Source organism: Homo sapiens, chromosome 12 (genome assembly GCF_000001405.40).
Source record: "Homo sapiens chromosome 12, GRCh38.p14 Primary Assembly".
NCBI lineage: Eukaryota > Metazoa > Chordata > Mammalia > Primates > Hominidae > Homo > Homo sapiens.
This window is the reverse complement of record NC_000012.12, coordinates 363,236-385,244: the sequence shown is the minus strand read 5'-3', so window position 1 is coordinate 385,244 and position 22,009 is coordinate 363,236. Positions and strand designations below refer to the sequence as shown.

General features: G+C 40.5%; 1 protein-coding gene across 1 annotated transcript in view; it reads left to right on the top strand.

The window, feature by feature from the left end:
• The window catches only part of KDM5A (lysine demethylase 5A), a 109,264-nt gene that overhangs the window by 4,076 nt on the left and 83,179 nt on the right, over window positions 1-22,009 (top strand). Inside the window, exons 3-4 of the mRNA NM_001042603.3 lie at window positions 1,092-1,214; window positions 19,141-19,311. Coding sequence (NP_001036068.1) covers window positions 1,092-1,214; window positions 19,141-19,311 — 294 coding nt within the window. The remainder of the gene's footprint in view (window positions 1-1,091; window positions 1,215-19,140; window positions 19,312-22,009) is intronic.

Genomic DNA, 22,009 nt, shown 5'->3' with positions numbered 1-22,009 from the left:
TTTTTCTTTTCTCCCCAAAACATTTCTGAGAGTTTAATACATACTTTTTTTTTTTTTTTTTTTCCAGAGAGTCTTGCTCTGTCACCCAGGCTGGAGTGCAGTGGTGCGATCTCGGCTCACTGCAACCTCTACCTCCCGGGTTCAAGCGATTCTCCTGCCTTAGCCTCCCTAGTGGCTGGGATTACAGCGACCATGCCCAGCTAATTTTTGTATTTTTAGTAGAGACGGAGTTTTGCCGTGTTGGCCAGGCTGGTCTGGAACTCCTGACCTCAGGTGATCTGCCCGCCTTGGCCTCCCAAAGTGCTGGGATTACAGGCGTGAGCTACCGCGCCTGGCCGCAATGCATATTTTTTCTTTTTAGTCTCTTGTAATTAGATACTTGACAAAGCATATTAGTATCAGTGAGGTATAGAGTTGATGCACCTAAAGTGTGCATGTTACATATGGATGAAATGACAGAACGTTAGAGACTGAAGAGAATCCGATCTACTGAATTTTCTGATCAGCATAGAGTTAAACCAACTTACAAAAATTGTTTTGGTTGCTAATATGACAACTTTTTACATAAATCAGAGTAACTTTTTTGCCTGAATAAATATAGTTTATTAGAAGTCTTTTGCCTCTTTATTATTGGCTAGTTTTACTATTGGCTAGTTTTACAGGGTTGAAATAAGCAATAATGAAAAAAAGTCTTTGAATTTCTTTAGAGAAATGAGTACCTCTATTACAGCTGTCCCAAACCTTTTTGGCACCAAGGACTGGTTTCATGGAAGACAGTTTATCCATGGATGGATGGGGGTATGGAGGATGGTTTTGGGATGAAACTGTTCCACCTCAGATCATCAAGCATTACTTAGATTCTCAAAAGGTGCTCACAACCTAAATCCCTCACACGCAGTTCACAATAGGGTTTGTGGTAATGCTTGCCCGGTTGGTTGCCCACTGCCGCTGCTCACCTCCTGCTGTGTGGCTGGGTTCCTAACAGGCCGCTGATGGGTACTGGTCCACATCCTGGGGTTTGGGGACCCCTGCTCTGTTATTCTTATTCATTTCAATCATAACTTAGTTCTTCTGTATTTTAATAATCTTAGGCAATGACCAGAGTGAGATTGGATTTCTTGGATCAACTAGCAAAATTTTGGGAACTTCAAGGATCTACTCTGAAGATCCCTGTGGTAGAGAGAAAAATCCTGGATCTGTATGCTTTGAGCAAGGTGAGGCTCATACTGGTTTAGAAATTAGAGCACAGGCTTGTGAATTTAGGAATATCAAATAGATTTGGTAGGAAACATTGCTTCCAATAGAGGATTTGTTTGACAATGAAATGCACTAGCTGGGTATGGTGGCGCATGCCTGTAATCCCAGCTACTCGGGAGGTTGAGGCAGGAGAATTGCTTGAACCCAGGAGGCGGAGGTTGTGGTGAGCTGAGATCGCGCCATTGTACTACAGCCTGGGCAACAAGAGCAAAACTCGGTCTCAAAAAAAAAAAGGACAATGAAATGCACATTTGAATAAATGGAAATGACAGTTCTCAAAGTTATCTTTAAAACTTATTTTATATTTGTTGAGATCAATATTTAATTACTAAATATTAATATTTATCAGGCTCTGTGATATACAATATGCAAAATAAATTACTCTAGCCTGCTAATGTTATCTTGTGCTGAGTGTACAATGTTCTGTGTTGAGCTTGTCATCTTTTTTTTTGTTACTTAATTGAAAATTTGGGCCAGGCACGGTGGCTCATGCCTGTAATCCCAGCACTTTAGGAGGTTGAGGTGGGAGGATCACTTGAGCCTAGGAGTTAGAGACTAGCCCAGGCAACATGGTGAAACCCTATGTCTACTAAAAATACAGAAAAGCTAACTGGGCATGGTGGTGCACACCTGTAGTCTCAACCACTCAGGAGGCTAAGGTGGGAGGATCACATGAGTCCGGAAAGTCAAGGCTGCAGTGAGCTGTGATTGCGCCACTGCACCTCAGCCTTGGCCACAGGAGTTAGACCCTGTCTCAAAAAAAAAAAAGAGAAAATTTGGCATATTAAAGAAACTCATGTTTCTCAGCATTCTTATGTGTGGTATATATTAGTTTTGTTAATACGTGTATGTAGTGTTAATGGCTGACTGAGGCCATCATTATTCAGTAGGATGACCAAACAGCTCAGAAACTTAAGGGTGAAGAGTTTAGACAAGTTTTTGCTGAAATTGTGTTAATTTTTTAACATTATATTCCCTAATGTGAAAAAAAAAAACTAACTGACCTGCAAGCTGAGATTATAATAACCTTGAGATATGTTTTTTTCTCTTTTTTTTGAGATGGAGTTTTGCTCTTGTGTCCAGGCTGGAGTGCAATGGCCTGATCTTGGCTCACTGCAACCTCTGCCTCCCAGGGTCAAGCAATTCTCCTTCCTCAGCCTCCCGAGTAGCTGGGATTACAGGCATGTGCCAACACACCAGGCTAATTTTGTATTTTTTAGTAGAGATGGGGTTTCACTATCTTAGTCAGGCTGGTCTCGAACTTCTGACCTCGTGATCCGCTCACCTTGATCTCCCAAAGTGCTGGGATTATAGATTACAGGCGTGAGCCACCGCGCCCGGCTAAAATATGTTTTGTTACTACAATAATACAAATTTATTATTGCTTAATTATCTGGGAATTTTGTAAAACAACTTCTTCTTGTGGCCTTTCATATCTTATAATTTATATACTATTTTGAAATAAAAATTTATTCTTATTTAAATTGCAGTTACTTTTAGAAGATTTCACTTTTTTTTTTTTTTGAAATGGAGTCACGCCCTTGTTGCCCAGGCTGGAGTGCAGTGGTGCCATCTCGGCTCACTGCAGCCTCCACCTCCCGGGTTCAAGTGATTCTTCTGCCTCAGCCTCCCGGGTTCAAGTGATTCTCCTGCCTTGGCCTCCCAAATACCTGGGATTACAGGTGCCTGCCACCACACCTGGCTAATTTTGTATTGTTAGTAGAGACAGGGTTTCTCCATGTTGGTTAGGCTGGACTCGAACTCCTGACCTCAGATGATCCACCCGCCTCAGCCTCCCAGAGTGTTGGGATTACAGGCGTGAGCCACCATGCGTGGCCAGGAAGATTTCACTTGTAAGGAAAAACATGAGAATAATTCGTGGCATGTGGTGGCTCATACCTATAATCCCAGCACTTTGGGAGGCTGAGGTGGAAGGATTGCTTGAACCTAGGAGTTCGAGACCAGGCTAGGCAACATAGTGAGACTCCATCTCTACAAAAAATTAAAAAATAAATAATCCTGGCATGGTGGTGGACTCCTGGAGTCCCAGCTAATCAAGAGGCTGAGGCAGGAGGATTGCTTGAGCCCAGGAGGTCAAGACTGCGGTGAGCTGTCATCACACCACTGCATTCCAGCTTGAGTGACAGAGCAAGACCCTGTTTCCAAAAAAACAGAGTAACCATATTTAAATTATCTTTTATGATACATTTTAAAATTAGTGTCAGGTCAAAATTCTCTTACTAAAAAATTTGGGAAGTACGGTCTTACGCTAAAATACAGCTTGAGACTTTTTTTAATCAGTCAGGTAATGATGTTAGTAAGTAAGCACTGTGTCAAGAATTGTCTAGTATAGTTATATGAAAACCTATGGTACTAAAGAACAAATTATGCTAAATTTGGGTGGTGGGTTTCTTCTTATAGGGAACTATTAGGATAAAAATTCATCTTAAGAATGCTTTTTTGAAATTTTTATTCAATCAAAACTTACCTACTAAGTTTTGCTGTATGATGCTGTTTAAGATTCTGAATGTGTTTGACTGTAGTATGAATAAAATACAAAAAAAATTTCAAAAATTGGCTCGGCACTGTGGCTCATGCCTGTAATCCCAGCACTTTGGAAGGCTGAGGCGGATGGATCACCTGAGGTCAGGAGTTTTTGAGACCAGCCTGGCCAACATGATGAAAACCTGTCTCAGCCGGGCACGGTGGCTCATGCCTGTAATCCCAGCACTTTGGGAGGCTGAGGCAGGAGGATCACTTGAGGTCGGGAGTTCGAGACCAACCCAACCAACATGGAGAAACCTCGTCTCTACTAAAAATACAAAATTAGCCGGACGTGGTGGCACATGCCTGTAATCTCAGCTACTTGGGAGGCCGAGGCAGGAGAATTGCTTGAACCCGGGAGGTGGAGGTTGTGGTGAGCTGAGATCACGCCATTGCACTTCAGCCTGGGCAATAAGAGCGGCACAACTCCGTCTAAAAAAAAAAAATAAAATAAAACCTATCTCTACTAATTATGCAAAAAATTAGCCAGGTGTGGTGGTGGGCACCTGTAATTCCATCTGCTCAGGAGGCTGAGGTAGGAAATCACTTGAAACCGGGAGGCAGAGGTTGCAGTGAGTTGAGATAGTACCACTGCACTCCAGCCTGGGCAACAAGAGTGAAACTGTGTCTGAAAAAAAAATTTTTTTTTCAAAAATTATTTTATCATTAATAGCAATATGTTGTAGTACTCTTTAATGAAGCTCTTTCTACTTTTTTTTTTTAGACAGAGTCTCACTCTTTTGCCCAGACTGGAGTGCAGTGGCACAATCTTGGCTCACTGCTACCTCCATCTCCCAGGTTCAACCGATTCTCATGCCTCAGCCTTCTGAGTAGCTGGGACTGGGATTAAAGGTGTGTGCCACCACACCCAGCTAATTTTTATATTTTTAGTAAAGATGGGGTTTTTACCATGTTGGCCAGGCTGGCCTTGAACTCCTGACCTGAAATGATCTGCCCACCTTGGCCTCCCAAAGTGTAGGGATTACAGGTGTGAGCCACTGTGCCCGGCCAATCTTTATCTCTATTTTATTTTCATAAATACCCTAAGGAATTTGCTAGAGTAAGTATTAATAGTATGAGTAGTAATCTATTGAAACTTTCTCTGTCAGTGATTTTCCATTTAAAAGGTAAACCTTAGGTTTAATCTGATGGTAAGTTAAATTGCATTTTTTTTTTTTTTTTGGAGACGGAGTCTCCCCCATCACCCAGGCTAGAGGCGTGATCTCGGCTCACTGCAACCTCCCACCTCCTGGGTTCAAGCGATTCCCCTCACTCAGCCTCAGAAGCAGCTGGGACTACAGGCGCACACCACCACGCCTGGCTAATGTTTGTATTTTTAGTAGAGACGGGGTTTCGTCATGTTGGCCAAGCTAGTCACGAACTCCTGATCTCAAGTGATCTCCCATCTTGGCCTCCCAAAATGGTGGGATTACAGGTGCAAGCCACCGTGCCCGGCTGCACTTTTCTGGTTTTCTAAAGTCATAGGATTTCAAAATAGGGAAGGGGCTTTTAGAGGTAACCTAGTCTGAATACTTAGTTGTTCACAATTCTCCTTATAACGGTCATCCAGAGTGTTTAACTCCATCTTGAGAAGCTGATTTCCTTTTAAGGTTCATACTACTAATAAAGTACACTTTGTTTAAATATTCAGAAAACTTATTGAAAATATGTTATGATTAAAGGTTAAGTGTGCTTATCTGACGGTTTATTGGAATCTTGTCTTTGTGGGTTTTTTTAAGTCCTCATGGACATCTCTTTCCCCAACCTGTGAGAATGTTTGCAAAACTGAGATTTAAAGCTAAAAGGCAGACAAACTTTGATTTGTAGTTATTTTAGTTTATAATACTTTGTTCCCTAAATGTCATTGTGAGATTGCTGCTTCTCACGTTAACTTTTTTCTTTTACATTGAGGTGTAACTTACAGTGTAATGCACAAATTTCAAGCGTACAGTTCAATAAATTTTCATATGTGTACACCTGTTTTGTAGCCATCACGCAGATCAAGATATATAACATTTTTATAGCACTCTAGTGGGTTGTTTCATCTCCTTTCCAGTCAATACTTCTTCACAAAGGTAATTTATTCTGACCTTTATCATTGGGTGACTATTTATTTCATTAACATGACATTTTATTCTAGCAAGAGGCTTGGGCTGAAAACTGCAGAAAATACTGAGAGTTGAGATGTTTTAAGGTTAGGTGTGCCCTTTTTTAAAAAAAAGATTATTTTTGGCTGACAGTTTGTTGGCATCTATTAAGTTTTTTTTTTATATATGATTTGAAAATACTATGATTCCCATTGCTTTTTGATGGGAAGCAAATTTTCAGTCTTCTGAGTCATTAAGTCATCAGCATGATGGTTTCCTGTTTTGATTAAATCACTTCATCTTTCTCCCTATTATTTTTGATAATAAAAAGTATTACTTGGAATGCCTGTAATTTAATAGACTTCTATATGAATAATTAGTTTTTTTTTTTTTTTTTTGAGATGGAGTCTCACTCTGTCACCCAGGCTGGAGTGCAGCAGCACGATTTTGGCTCACTCTAAGCTCCGCCTCCTGGGTTCATGACATTCTCCCGCCTCAGCCTCCCGCGTAGCTGGGACTACAGGCGCCCACCACCACGCCCGGCTAATTTTTTGTATTTTTTAGTAGAGACGGGGTTTCACCCTGTTAGCCAGGATGGTCTCAATCTCCTGACCTCGTGATCCGCCCGCCTTGGCCTCCCAAAGTGCTGGGATTACAGGCGTGAGCCACCGTGCCTGGCTGAATAATTACAGTTTTTATAACCACTTCAGCAAGAAGCATTCAGTCTAGCCCTTCTTGTTAAAACATTTTTATTTTTATTAAAGTAGTACACTTTTAAAACACAAGGCTTTGGCTGGGTATAGTGGGCTCATACTTGTAATCCCAGCAGTTTGGGAGGCCGAGGCAGGAGGATCATTTGAGCCCAGGAGTTCTAGATAAACTTCCTGGTCTAGACATAGGGAGACCCCGTCTCTACAAAAAATTTAAAAAGATTAGCTAGGTGTGGTGGCATGCGCCTGTAGTCACAGCCACTTGAGAAGCTGAAGCTGGAGGATCATTTGAGTCCAGGTGTTTGGGGCTACAGTGACCTCTGATTGCACCACCTGGGCAACAGAGTAAGACCCTGTCTTTAAAAAAAAAAGGGGGCTTAAAATGAAAATCAGCATCTCCCTTCATCTCCACCCCCATTCCTACTCCTCAGAACTAATCACTTTCAGTTCTTTTAGCTGTTTCTGATTTTGATCTTCATATTTCCAAGTAATATGCTCATATTGCTGTTTCTTCATTTCTCAGTTTTAAATATCATATACTGATTTCCTACTGTTAAAGATGGAGAATGGGTGTAAGAGAATGGGTGTAAATCCTCCCATACTTTATGTCCGTCATCCCCTTCTAGTGTAGTTACATTAATTTTTATTAATCTAAAATTATTACTGTGAAAAATATATTTTCAAACTTTCCAGTAGAAGTATACATCTCTCAGTATGCTTCTACCCATCAAATAATCTATCAGCTTTATTTTCTTGGAGCCATTCTTCCTGGATTCTTTTTTACTCTCAAATCTTGACTGGGTGTTTTTTTAAGGTCACCTGTCAGTCTGGAAATTCCTTTTACTGCCATCATTCTGGGAATTCCTTGGCCTCTTTTCCTTGTTGTAAGTCTTCCTTTTACTTGGTTTACTCTCATTTTGGTGAAACATTTCTTCTGCTAATTTCATGAGAAAGATGGTTAATGGGATATACATTTTTTAGGACCTTTTGCTTGTGTACAAATGTTCTGCTCTTAAACTTTATTAGTAGTTTGGTAGGGTTTAAAAGTCTAGATTGTAAATCATTTTACTTCAGTATTTTGAAAGCTTTACTCCATTGTCTTGTTGGTGAGAAGAACGATGCTATATTAATTCTTGTTTTTTTGTGACTTTTTTTTTCTTGAAGATTTAGGATCTTATCTTTATTCCCAGGGCTTTGAAATTTCACGGTGATATGCATTGGTATGTGTTTATTTTCATTCACTGTTTTTATGGCTCTCAATAACCTTTCTAATCTGATAACTCATTTCTTTCAATTCTTCTAATTTTTCCTGTATTCTTTGATAATTTTGTGTACTTATTTTTTCTCTTCTTTTTGACTCTTTATTAGTTAGATGTTAGACATGTTAGGCTGGTCCTTTAGTTTACTTACCTATAGCTTTTTTAGTTCAACATCCCTTCTCTTCAAACTCTGCTGAGAGTAAATCTCCAGTTTTCTGCTGGGGTTGGAGAGGGATAGTTGCCTGGAAGAGGTCTAAGTGCTTCTATACAGGTTTTCACAATCCTGTTCTCTGCTGCATTGCCACCCCTAATTTTAGAGGTACTGCTGCTACTTCTTAAGACTTTTTTTTTTTCCTTGTTTTAGAAAAGGGAGGAAGGGGACTCCTCTGAAGCCTTTCCAGGTTCTATGTTGCAAAAGCTTCTCTGGCTTTCCTCTGTTGTAAGGCACTTAAACTTGTAATTTTTGTTTGTCTGTTTTTGTTATTGTTTTGGCTTATCACTATCTTCAAAATATTGTCTACATTTGTATTTGGTTCCTTTCTTGGTCTATTTGACCTCTTGAGAGGATGCCTTTTTGTTTCTTTCCTGTCTTTTTAGTGGATTTTTTTAGAGGGAGCTTTTAAGTAGAAGACTGTTCTTTAGGTATGTTAAAACTGTCTCTAGATGTTCCCAAGATGGCCGAATAGGAACAGCTCCGGTCTACAGCTCCCAGCGTGAGCGACGCAGAAGACGGGTGATTTCTGCATTTCCAACTGAGGTACCAGGTTCATCTCACTGGGGCTTGTTGGACAGTGGGTGCAGGACAGTGGCTGCAGCCCACCGAGCGTGTGCCAAAGCAGGGCGAGGCATCGTCTCACCTGGGAAGTGCAAGGGGTCAGGGAATTCCCGTTCCTAGCCAAGGGAAGCTGTGACAGATGGCACCTGGAAAATTGGGTCACTCCCACCGTAACACTGTGCTTTTCCAATGGTCTTAGCAAACGGCACACCAGGAGATTATATCCTGCACCTGGCTTGGAGGGTCCCACGCCCACGGAGCCTCGCTCATTGCTAGCACAGCAGTCTGAGATGGAACTACAAGGTGGCAGCGAGCCTGGGGGATGGGTGCCCACAATTGCTGAGGCTTGAGTAGGTAAACAAAGCAGCCCAGAAGCTCGAACTGGGTGGAGCCCACCGCAGCTCAAGGAGGCCTGCCTTCCTCTGTAGACTCCACCTCTGGGGGCAGGGCATGGCCAAACAAAAGGTAGTAGAAACCTCTGCAGACTTAAATGTCCCTGTCTGACAGCCTTGAAGAGAGCAGTGGTTCTCCCAGCATGGAGTTTGAGATCTGAGAACGGGCAGACTGCCTCCTTATGTGGGTCCCTGACCCCCAAGTAGCCTAACTGGGAGGCACCGCCTCGTAGGGGCAGCCTTGACACCCACATGGCCGGGTATCCCTCTGAGACAAAGCTTCCAGAGGAAGGATCAGGCAGCAATATTTGCTGTTCGGCAACATTCGCTGTTCTACAGCCTCCGCTGCTGATACACAGGCAAACAGGGTCTGGAGTGGACCTCCAGCAAACTCCAACAGACCTGCAGCTGAGGGTCCTGACTGTTAGAAGGAAAACTAACAAACAGAAAGGACATCCACACCAAAATCCCATTTGTACATCACCATCATCAAAGACCAAAGATAGATAAAACCACAAAGATGGGGAAAAAGCAGAGCAGAAAAACTGAAAATTAGAAAAATCAGAGCAGAGCACCTCTCCCCCGCCAAAGGAACACAGCTTCTCGCCAGCAACGGAACAAAGCTGGACAGAGAATGACTTTGATGAGTTGAGAGAAGAAGGCTTCAGACGATCAGACTTCTCCGAGCTAAAGGAGGAAGTTCGAACCCATCGCAAAGAAGCTAAAAACCTTGTAAAAAGATTAGACAAATGGCTAAATAGAATAACCAGTGTAGAGAAGTCTTTAAATGACCTGATGGAGCTGAAAACCATGGCACGAGAACAACTACGTGATGAATGCACAAGCTTCAGTAGCCAATTTGATCATTTGGAAGAAAGGGTATCAGTGATTGAAGATCAAATTAATGAAATGAAGTGAGAAGAGAACTTTAGAGAAAAAAGAGTAAAAAGAAACAAAGCCTCCAAGAAATGTGGGACTATGTGAAAAGACCAAGTCTGTGTCTGATTGGTGTACCTGAAAGTGATGGGGAGAATGGAACCAAGCTGGAAAACACTCTGCAGGATATTATCCAGGAGAACTTCCCCAACCTAGCAAGGCAGGCCGACATTCAAATTCAGGAAATACAGAGAACGCCACAAAGATACTCCTGGAGAAGAGCAACTCCAAGACACATAATTGTCAGATTCACCAAAGTTGAAATGAAGGAAAAAATGTTAAGGGCAGCCAGAGAGAAAGATCGGGTTACCCACAAAGGGAAGCCCATCAGACTAACAGCGGATCTCTCGGCAGAAACTCTGCAAGCCAGCAGAGAGTGGGGGCCAATGTTCAACATTCTTAAAAAAAAAAGAATTTTCAACCCATAATTTCATATCCAGCCAAACTAAGCTTCATAAGTGAAGGAGAAATATAATCCTTTACAGACAAGCAAATGCTGAGAGATTTTGTCACCACCAGGCCTGCCCTACAAGAGCTCCTGAAGGAAGCACTAAACATGTAAAGGAACAACTGGTACCAGCCACTGCAAAAACATGCCAAACTGTAAAGACCATCGATGCCAGGAAGAAACTGCATCAACTAACGAGCAAAATAATCAGCTAACATCATAATGACAGGATCAAATTCACACATAACAGTATTAACCTTAAATGTAAATGGGCTAAATGCTCCAGTTAAAAGACACAGACTGGCAAATTGGATAAAGAGTCAAGATCCACCAGTGTGCTTTATTCAGGAGACCCATCTCACATGCAGAGACACACACAGGCTCAAAATAAAGGGATGGAGGAAGATCTACCAAGCAAATGGAAAACAAAAAAGGCAGGGGTTGCAATCCTAGTCTCTGATAAAACAGATTTTAAACCAACAAAGATCAGAGACAAGGCCATTACATAATGGTAAAGGGATCAATGCAACAAGAAGAGCTAACTATCCTAAATATATATGCACCCAATACAGGAGCACCCAGATTCCTAAAGCAAGTCCTTAGAGACCCACAAAGAGACTTAGACTCCCACACAATGATAATGGGAGACTTTAACACCCTACTGTCAATATTAGACAGATCAACGAGACAGAAAGTTAACAAGGATATCCAGGAATTGAAATCAGCTCTGCACCAAGCAGATCTAATAGACATCTACAGAACTCTCCACCCCAAAGCAACAGAATATGCATTCTTCTCAGCACTGCATCACACTTATTCCAAAATTTGACCACATAGTTGGAAGTAAAGCCCTCCTCAGCAAATGAAAAAGACCAGAAATTATAACAAACTGTCTCTCAGACCACAGTGCAATCAAACTAGAACTCAGGATTAACAAACTCACTCAAAACCACTCAACTACATGGAAACTGAACAACCTGCTCCTGAATGACTACTGGGTACATAACGAAATGAAGGCAGAAATAAAGATGTTCTTTGAAACCAATGAGAACAAAAACACAACATACCAGAATGTCTGGGACACATTCAAAGCAGTGTGTAGAGGGAAATTTATAGCACTAAATGCCCACAAGAGAAAGCAGGAAAGATCTAAAATTGACACCCTAACATCACAATTAAAAGAACTAGAGAAGGAAGTACAAACACATTCAAAAGCTAGCAGAAGGCAAGAAATAACTAAAATCAGAGCAGAACTGAAGGAGATAGAGACACAAAAAACCCTTCAAAAAATCAATGAATCCAGGAGCTGGTTTTTTGAAAAGATCAACAAAATTGATAGACCACTAGCAAGACAAAAAAGGAAAGAAGAATCAAATAGACGCAATAAAAAATGATAAAGGGGATATCACCACCAATCCCACAGAAATACAAACTACCATCAGAGAATAAACACCTCTATGCAAATAAACTAGAAAATCTAGAAGAAATGGATAAATTCCTGGAGACATACACCCTCCCAAGACTAAACCAGGAAGAAGTTGAATCCCTGAATAGACCAATAACAGGCTCTGAAATTGAGGCAATAATTAATAGCCTACCAACCAAAAACAGTCCAGGACCAGATAGATTCACAGCCAAATTCTACCAGATGTACAAGGAGGAGCTGGTACCATTCTTTCTGAAACTATTCCAGTCAATAGAACAAGAGGGAATTCTCCCTAACTCATTTTATGAGGCCAGCATCATCCTGATACCAAAGCCTGGCAGAGACCCAACAAAAAAAGAGAATTTTAGACCAATATCCCTGATGAACATCGATGCGAAAATCTTCAATAAAATACTGGCAAACCAAATCCAGCAGCACATCAAAAAGCTTATCCACCATGATCAAATGGGCTTCATCCCTGGGATGCAAGACTGGTTCAATATACGCAAATCAATAAACGTAATCCAGCATATAAACAGAACCAAAGACAAAAACCACACAATTATCTCAATAGATGCAGAAAAGGCCTTTGACAAAATTCAACAATGCTTCATGCTAAAAACTCTCAATAAATTAGGTATTGATGGGACGTATGTCAAAATAATAAGAGCTATTTATGACAAACCCACAGCCAATATCATACTGGATGGGCAAAAACTGGAAGCATTCCCTTTGAAAACTAGTACAATACAGGGATGCCCTCTCTCACCACTCCTATTCAACATAGTGTTGGAAGTTCTGGCCAGGGCAGTCAGGCAGGAAAAAGAAATAAAGGGTATTCAATCAGGAAAAGAGGAAGTCAAGTTGTCCCTGTTTGCAGATGACATGACTGTATATTTAGAAAACCCCATCATCTCAGCCCAAAATCTCCTAAAGCTGAAAAGCAACTTCAGCAAAGTCTCAGGATACAAAATCAATGTGCAAAAATCACAAGCATTCTTATACACCAATAACAGAGAGCCAAATCATGAGTGAACTCCCATTCACAATTGCTTCAAACAGAATAAAATACCTAGGAATCCAACTTACAAGGGATGTGAAGGACCTCTTCAAGGAGAACTACAAACCACTGCTCAATGAAATAAAAGAGGACACAAACAAATGGAAGAATATTCCATGCTCATGGATAGGAAGAATCATTATCGTGAAAATGGCCATACTGCCCAAGGTAGTTTATAGATTCAGTGCCATCCCCATCAAGCTACCAATGACTTTCTTCACAGAATTGGAAAAAACTACTTTAAAGTTCATACGGAACCAAAAAAGAGCCCACATTGCCAAGTCAATCCTAAGCCAAAAGAACAAAGCTGGAGGCATCATGCTTCCTGACTTCAAACTATACTACAAGGCTACAGTAACCAAAACAGCATGGTACTGGTACCAAAACAGAGATAGAGACCAATGGAACAGAACAGAGCCTTCAGAAATAATACCATACATCTGCAACCGTCTGATCTTTGACAAACCTGACAAAAACAAGAAATGGGGAAAGGATTCCCTATTTAATGGTGCTGGGAAAACTGGCTAGCCATATGTAGAAAGCTGAAACTGGATCCCTTCCTTACAACTTATACAAAAATTAATTGAAGATGGATTAAAGACTTAAATGTTAGACCTAAAACCATAAAAACCCTAGAAAACCTAGGCAGTACCATTCAGGACATAGGCATGGGCAAGGACTTCATGTCTAAAACACCAAAAGCAATGGCAACAAAAGCCAAAATAGACAAATGGGATCTAATTAAACTAAAGAACTTCTGCACAACAAAAGAAACTACCATCAGAGTAAACAAGCAACCTACAGAAGGGGAGAAAATTTTTGCAGTCTACTCATCTGACAAAGGGCTAATATCCAGAATCTACAAAGAACTCAAATTTACGAGAAAAAAACAACCCCATCATAAAGTGGGCAAAGGATATGAACAGACGCTTCTCAAAAGCAGACATCTATGCAGCCAACAGACACATGAAAAAATGCTCATCACTGGCCATCAGAGAAATGCAAATCAAAACCACAATGAGATACCATCTCACTCCAGTTAGAGTGGTGATCATTAAAAAGTCAGGAAACAACAGGTGCTGGAGAGGATGTGGAGAAATAGGAACAATTTTACACTGTTAGTGGGACTATAAACTAGTTCAACCATTGTGGAAAACAGTGTGGTGATTCCTCAAGGATCTTGAACTAGAAATACCATTTGACCCAGCCATCCCATTACTGGGTATATACCCAAAGGATTATAAATCATGCTGTTATAAAGACACATGCACACATATGTTTATTGTGGCACTATTCACAATAGCAAAGACTTGGAACCAACCCAAATGTCCATCAATGATAGACTGGATTAAGAAAATGTGGCACATATGCACCATGGAATACTATGCAGCCATAAAAAAGGATGAGATCATGCCCTTTCCAGGGACATGGATGAAGCTGGAAACCATCATTCTCAGCAAACTGTCACAAGAACAGAAAACCAAACACCGCATGTTCTCACTGATAGGTGGGAATTGAACAATGAGAACACTTGGACACAGGAAGGTGAACATCACACACCGGGGCCTGTCGTAGGGTGGGGGTAGTGGGGAGGGATAGCATTAGGAGATATACCTAATGTAAGTGATTAGTTAATGTGTGCAGCACACCAACGTGGCACACGTATACATATGTAACAAACCTGCACGTTGTGCACATGTACTACCCTAGAACTTAAAGTATAATTAAAAAAAAAAAAAGTCTCTGTTCCCAGCTGTTTTGGTCTTGAGCGATACTACTTTTTGGTCAAGTTTTGATAAACGGCTTGTCTTCATTGTGTTCAATTCAAGTGCATGCCATGTATCTTTTTATAGAGCATGGTTCATAGTGATATTTCTGGGGACAGTGTTGTGATATAGTACATGGCAAATATTTGGAGTAAATGGTTTGTATTTTATTTTTAATTTTTATTTATTTTTGAGACAGAGTCTCGCTGTGTTGCCCAGGCTGGAATGAGGTGGCATGAAACCAGCTCCCTGCAATCCCCGCCTCCTGGGTTCAAGTGATTCTCCTGCCTCAGCCTCCCAAGTAACTGGGATTACAGGTGCCTGCCACCACGCCCTGCTAATTTTTGTATTTTTAGTAGAGACAGGGTTTCACCATGTTGGCCAGGCTGGTTTCGAACTCTCGACCTCAGGTGATCCACCTGCCTCGGCCTCCCAAAGTACTGGGATTACAGGCATGAGCCACTATGCCTGGCCTGGTTTGTATTTTTAAATTATGTATGATAATCTTTGAATCTGCCAGCCAAAGAAAAACAGGTATTAGGTTTTGTGTGTTTTTTGGTTAGATTGTTAGAGTATTGTATGCGTGGAGCCAAAGTAATGGTTTTGTTTTCTTTGTGAGATAGTTTATTCCTTTGTCATGGCCGTATCCTGGCTGCTACTAATCACCAGAACTGGGTGGGACATCATGACTGGATCCATGCAGGTGTATCATAACTAATGGAAATTTAGCTTGAAATGCTTTGAATACAAAGCAGATTATTATGTCAGAGTGATTATTGTATTGGATAGTAAAGATAAGAGGGCTTCTGTTGCCTCCCTGAGTTCTTTTACTTCTCCCTGCTTGTTCACTTTGCTTTAGCCACACTGGCTTCCTTATTTTCCTCAAACACTCTAGACATGCTTCTGACTTGGAGCCTTTGCTTTGTCTGTTCCCTTTATATCTGCTAGTTAACTACTTCACTCCTTTCAAGTCTTTGCTTAGATTTCATCTTTATAATAAGGCTTTTTGCAATCGTTTAATACTTCAGATTATCTTTACCCTGTTACCTGGAGGCCCCTTGACTGCTTTTTAATTTCTTCTACAATATTTATCCCTTCAAAATTTATATATTATGTTCATTGTTTATTGTCTGTCTTCCTCCACTAGAATGTAAGCTCCATGAGGACAAAGATCTTTGTTTTATTCATAAAATGTGACAAAGATCTTTGTTTTATTCATAAATGTATCCCAGGTACCTAGAATAGTAGCTGGCAGTATAGAAGCACTGAAAGTTACCTGTTGAATGAAAGGCACTCTAATCCATCCAGTTGCTTCCAGACAGCCCTCTATCTAAACCATTTTCATTGTGTCTTTCTCTGTACTTTGAAAAATAATTTTTGTCTCTGTATGATTTTCCCCTGATTGATTGTTTGAACAGAGAGGGCTTCTTTGAGGGTGTGATAGGAGGAGCTGAAGAACTAAAGAGATGTGTTCAACTCTTGTGCATATGAATTTGTGTTTCTACCAAGCTTTTAGATCATTCACTAGAGGAAAATTGTACTTCGGCCATAGGTTCATCTTTGTTTATAATAACATCATAAAGCACAAGAGTTGAAAACATTTCCTTCACTTATTTTTAGTATGTGTACCCTCTCCTCCATTTGTCCACACTCATAGACATTTGTAATATAGCAACATTGGTATAGTACTTTATCCTGGTGCTTTTCATATTTTATTTTATTTGTCCTCACAGTAGCCTCATAACGAGGTGTAGGCACCGTTGTTACTATTTTGATGATGGTGAGGAAATTGAATTGCAAGGTATGTAACTTTGCCAGGGTCATGTAACTGTGTTTTGTCTGTTTGTTTTTTCCTTGAGACAGGGTCTCGCTCTTGCCCAGGCTGGAGTTCAGTGGTGCAATCTGGCTCACTGCAACCTCCTCCTCCCGGGTTCAAGCGATTCTCCTTCCTCAGCCTCCCTAGTAGCTGGGATGATAGGTGTGCACCACCATGCTTGGCTAATTTTTGGTATTTTTAGTTGAGACGGAGTTTCACCATGTTGGCCAGGCTGGTCTCGAACTGCTGACCTCAGGTGATCCGCCTGCCTCAGCCTCCAAAGTGCTGGGATTACAGATGTGAGCCACGACGCCTGGCCAAGGTCATATAACTAGTAAGTGACAGAACTGAAATTTGAATACTGGCAGTCTGGCTCGAGTCTTCTTTTCATCTTTTTTTAAAAAATTGTATATGTAGCATCAACATTTAAAAATACACAGTTGAGTGGCATTAAGTACATTTACAGTGTTGTACAGTTATCACCACTATATAGTTCCAGGACTTCTCCCTTCCACCACTCCTGGCAACTTCTATTATGCTTTCTGTCTCTATGAATTTGCTTACTCTATGTAGCTTATATAAATGGAATTATGCAGTAGTCATCATTTTGTCTCTGGCTTATTTTATATTTTCAAAATTCATTCATGTTTGGGATGTATCAGAACTTTCTAAGGCAGAATAATATTCCATTGTATTTTATTATACTACATTTCGTTTATTCATTTATCTGTTGATAAACTTTTGGGTTCTGTTTTGACTCTCAAGAGTATTGCTGCTGTGAACATTGGTGTGCAAGAATCTGTTTGAGTCCCTCCTTTCAGTTCTTTGAGTATATATCTAGAAGTGAAATTGCAGCATCATATGGTAATTTTATGTTTAACTTTTAACTTTTTTTTTTTTTTGAGACAGGGTCACTTGAGACAGGATCAGCCAGGCCAGAGTGCAGGGGTGTGATCATGGCTCGCTGCAGCCTTGATCTCCTGGGTTCAACTGATCCTCCTGCCTTGGCCTCCCAGGTAGCTGGGAACTACAGGTACACCACCTGCCTGGTTAATTTTTTTTTTTCGGAGATGGAGTCTCACTCTACTGTCCAGGCTGGAGTGCAGTGGCACAATCTCAGCTAACTGCAACCTTTGCCTCCTGGGTTCAAGTGATTCTTGGGCCTCAGCCTCCTGAGTAGCTGGGATTATAGGTGTGCACCACCACGTCTGGCTAATTCTTTGTATATTTTTTTAGAAGAGATGGGGTTTCACTATGTTGCGCAGGCTGCTCTTGAACTCCTGAGCTCAGGCTATTTGCCCAGCTCTGCCTCCCAAAGTCCTGGGATTACAGGCATAAGCCACCCTGCCCAACCTGCCCAGCTAATTTTTAAATTTTTTTGTAGAGATGGGGGCCTCACTATATTGTCCAGCATGGTTTGAAACTCCTGGGCTCAAGTGATCCTCCTGCCTTGGCCTCCCAAAGTGTTAGAATTACAGATGTGAGCCACTATGCCTGGCTTTAACTTTTTTTTTATGTAGTAAGATACAGTAGTATATACTCAATCAAATAGGAGAAACTGAGTTTGAACACTGTGTCACAGTCCCCTTTATTCTCAGTGAAATTGAAAACTGCCTGTACAATCGTGTCACTTAATGACAGGGATATGTTCTGAAAAACATGAGGATTTCATTATTGTGCAAACATAGAATGTACTTATACAAACCCAGATGGTATGGCCTACTGCATACCTAGGCTATGTGGTATAACCTGTTGCTCCTAGACCTAAAGGTGTACAGCCTGTTACTCTACTGAATACTGTAGGCAGTGTAACACAATGGTAAGTATTTGTGTATGTATCTAAACACAAAGGTTCAGTAAGAATATGGTATTATAATCTTATGGGAGCACTGTCATATATGCGGTCTATATTTGACCAAAATGTTATGCAGTGCATGACTGTATTTTAGAGCCTAAGAGATGTATAGTAACAGCTCCTGGACGTTAAGGAGCTTTGAAATATGTATTCTGTAGAGTGCCTGGCTTGATGTGACCATTCAGCCAAGTTAGCCAATTTATCTCATCGTTTTCTACCTTAATATATTCTGTACTCCGTATCGGTAAATCTACTGCAACCTAATCTTTTTCAGTGTTCCTTTATGATCTTCCATATAAAACTCTTGCCCTTTTGAAAAATTATAGCCTGTTTTTCACAACTGTCCTCTGTATTCATGGTTTGATTGACGTTTTTGTTAAGTTCTGTAAGTTACTTGGTTATTTCTAATTTCAGGATTTATGTTTATTTTGTATTATATAACATTTATTTTCATATCTATTTTTTATCTGTTTTTATTCTTATTTCATATTGTGAGTTCCTTAAGTAGGTAGTCTGTCTGTACATGTGTTTAGTTTTCTCACAGTGCGTACTGTACAGAGTATTCATTAAATATTTTTGAATGCTTGGTTTGAAGGTAGGCATAATGTTAATTACATTTTAAACCTCTGAAAAGCATTGTTTCTATTTCTTACTCTAAATGTTGACAAGTGTCAGTTTGGTTAGATACTCATTGAAAGGAAATTTGAAATTTAAGCCCTGAATAATTTTTCTATTTAGTAGACAAGACTTAAGAGTCAAGATGCTTGAATTTGCCTTTTTTCTCTAAGCAACTTTTACTTTCTTTTCAGATTGTTGCCAGCAAAGGAGGTTTTGAAATGGTCACCAAAGAGAAGAAATGGTCTAAAGTGGGTAGTCGCTTGGGATATCTGCCAGGAAAAGGAACTGGGTCTCTTTTGAAGTCACATTATGAAAGAATTCTCTACCCATATGAGCTTTTCCAGTCTGGTGTGAGCCTTATGGTGAGATGCATTATTCTTTTTAGAAAAAGTTGATAAATCCAGTTTGCCCAAGTACAAACTTTAGACTGTGTTTAACCCAAGTTAGCAGGCACCAAAATTTGGGGAAGCAAAGTGTATATCATAGTGTAAAAATCATAGCTGTTTTTGATGGTTTACAAGATAAAGAATAATGGAAATGAAGAATGTTTTCTTATTTATTTAAAATAAACCTTTATGACTGAAACTTTTTGAAAAAGTCCTGTTTGTTTCATGAATTTTTCTAAAACAGCTTTATTAGTTATGATTTATATACCATAGAATTCACCCTTTGTGGGTGCACCGTTGGTAAGCTTTAATACATTTCTACATTTATGCAGCGATCACTGTGATCCAGTTTTAGAGCACTTCCACTAGCCCCCAAAATTCTCTTGTTCATTTGTAGTTGGTTCCTGTACCACCCCCACACACAGGCAATTCCTGACCCGCTTTCTGGCTCTGTAGTTTGTCTTTTCTAGAACTTTCACCTAGATGTAATCATACAATATGATTTTGTGTCTGGCTTTTTTCACTTAGCCTAATGTTTTCAGAGTTCAGCCATGTTGGCTGGATGCGGTGGCTAATGCCTGTAATCTCAGCACTGTGGGAGGCTGAGGTGGGTGGATCGTTTGAGGCCAGAAGTTTGAGACCAGCCTGGGCATCATGGTGAAACCCTGTCTCTACTAAAAATACAAAAAATTAGCCAGGTATGGTGGTGTGCGCCAGTGGTCCCAGCTACTCCAGAGACTGTGGTAGGATGATTGCTTCAGCCTGGGAGATGGAGGTTGCAGTAAGCTGAGATCCTGCCACTGCACTCCAGCCTGGGTGACAGAGTGAGACCCTGTCTCAAAAAAAAAAGTTCAGCCATGCTATAGCATGTGTCAGTACTTTATTTTTATGGCTGAATAATATTCCATTGAATGGATATACCACATTTTGTTTATCCATTTACCAGTTGATGGAGTTTTAGATTGTTTCCAGTTTATGGCTATTATGAATAATGCTATGAATATTCATAGACAAGTCTTTGAGTGGACATATGTTTTCATTTCTCTTGGGTAGGTACTTGGGAGTGGAATTGCTGGGTTATATAGTAAGTTTATGTGTAAATTTGTTTGTTTGTTTTTTTTTTTTTTTTTGAGATGAGACTCCGTCGCCCAGGCTGGAGTGCAGTGGCGCGATCTCGGCTTGCTGCAAGCTCCGCCTCCTGGGCTCACGCCATTCTCCTGCCTCAGCCTCCCGAGTAGCTGGGACTACAGGTGCCCACCACCACGCCCACAGAATTTTTTGTATTTTTAGTAGAGACGGAGTTTCACCGTGTTAGCCAGGATGGTCTCGATCTCCTGACCTCGTGATCCACTCACCTCGGCCTCCCAAAGTGCTGGGATTACAGGTGTGAGCCACTGCGCCCGGCCGTTTATGTGTAAATTTTTTTTTTTTTTGAGGTGGAATCTTGCTGTGTCGCCCAGGCTGGAGTGCAGTGGCGTGAACTCGGCTCACTGCAGCCTCCGCCTCCCGGTTTCAAGTGATTCTCCTACCTCAGCCTCCTGAGTAGAGTAGTTGAGACTACAGGTGCATGCCACCACCCCCAGCTAATTTTTGTATTTTTAGTAGAGACAGGGTTTCATCATGTTGGCCAGGCTGGTCTTGAACTCCTGACTTCAAGTGGTCCACCCACCTTGGCCACCCAAAGTGCTGAGATTATAGGCGTGAGCCACCGCACCCGGCCTGTGTAAATTTTTAAGGACTGCCAAGTTGTTTTCCAAAATGGCTGAATCATTTTACTTTCCCACCAGTAATGTAGAGGCTTCTAGTTTTTCCACATCCTGGTCAACACTTGGTATTGTCAGTTTTTTTAATTATAGCCATTCTAGTTAGTTGTATAGTGATACCTTATTGTGGTTTTAATTTGCATTTCTCTAATGACTAGTGATGTGCCTATTTTCATATTCATATTAAACATTTGTATATCTTGGTGAAGTGTCTGTTCAGATCTTTTTTTAATTGGGTTGTTTGTCTTATACTTGTGAATTTGTTATACAGTTTGTGTACAACTCCTTTATCAGGTAAATGATTTGCAGATATTTTCTCCTAGTCTGTTATCTTTTCATTTTTGTACTGGTCACTTTTTGAAGAACCATTTTTTTATTTCTTTTTTCCTTCTATGGATTGTGCTTTTGGTGTCATATTTAAGAAATCTTTTCCAAGGTCACAAAGATTTTCTTCTTTGCTTTAATGTAGAAATTTTACAATTTCGGCTTTTATATTTTGGTCAGTGATGCATTTTGAGGCTTTTTTTGTGTGTATAGTATGAGGTGAAGATGTAAGTTTATTTTTTGGTGGGGAAGGGGGTATATGAATATTGAGTAGTACCAGCGCCATTTGTTTAAAAGGCTATCCTTTTCCCACTGATTTAGCTCACCACCATTGTTGGAGATCAGTTGACCATAAATGTGTGGGTTTATTTCTGAACTCTGTTTTTGTTGCACTGATTTATATGTCTACCCTAAAACCAGTACTACATTGTCTTGAGTACTGTAGCTTTATGGTAAATGTTGATATTCAGTAGTGTAAGTTTTTTGTTCTTTTTTTCAAAATTTCTAAACAACTTATATTTCCAAATAAATTTTAGGGTCGGCTTTCAATTTTAACAACAACAAAAAGCCTGCCAGGATTTTGGTAG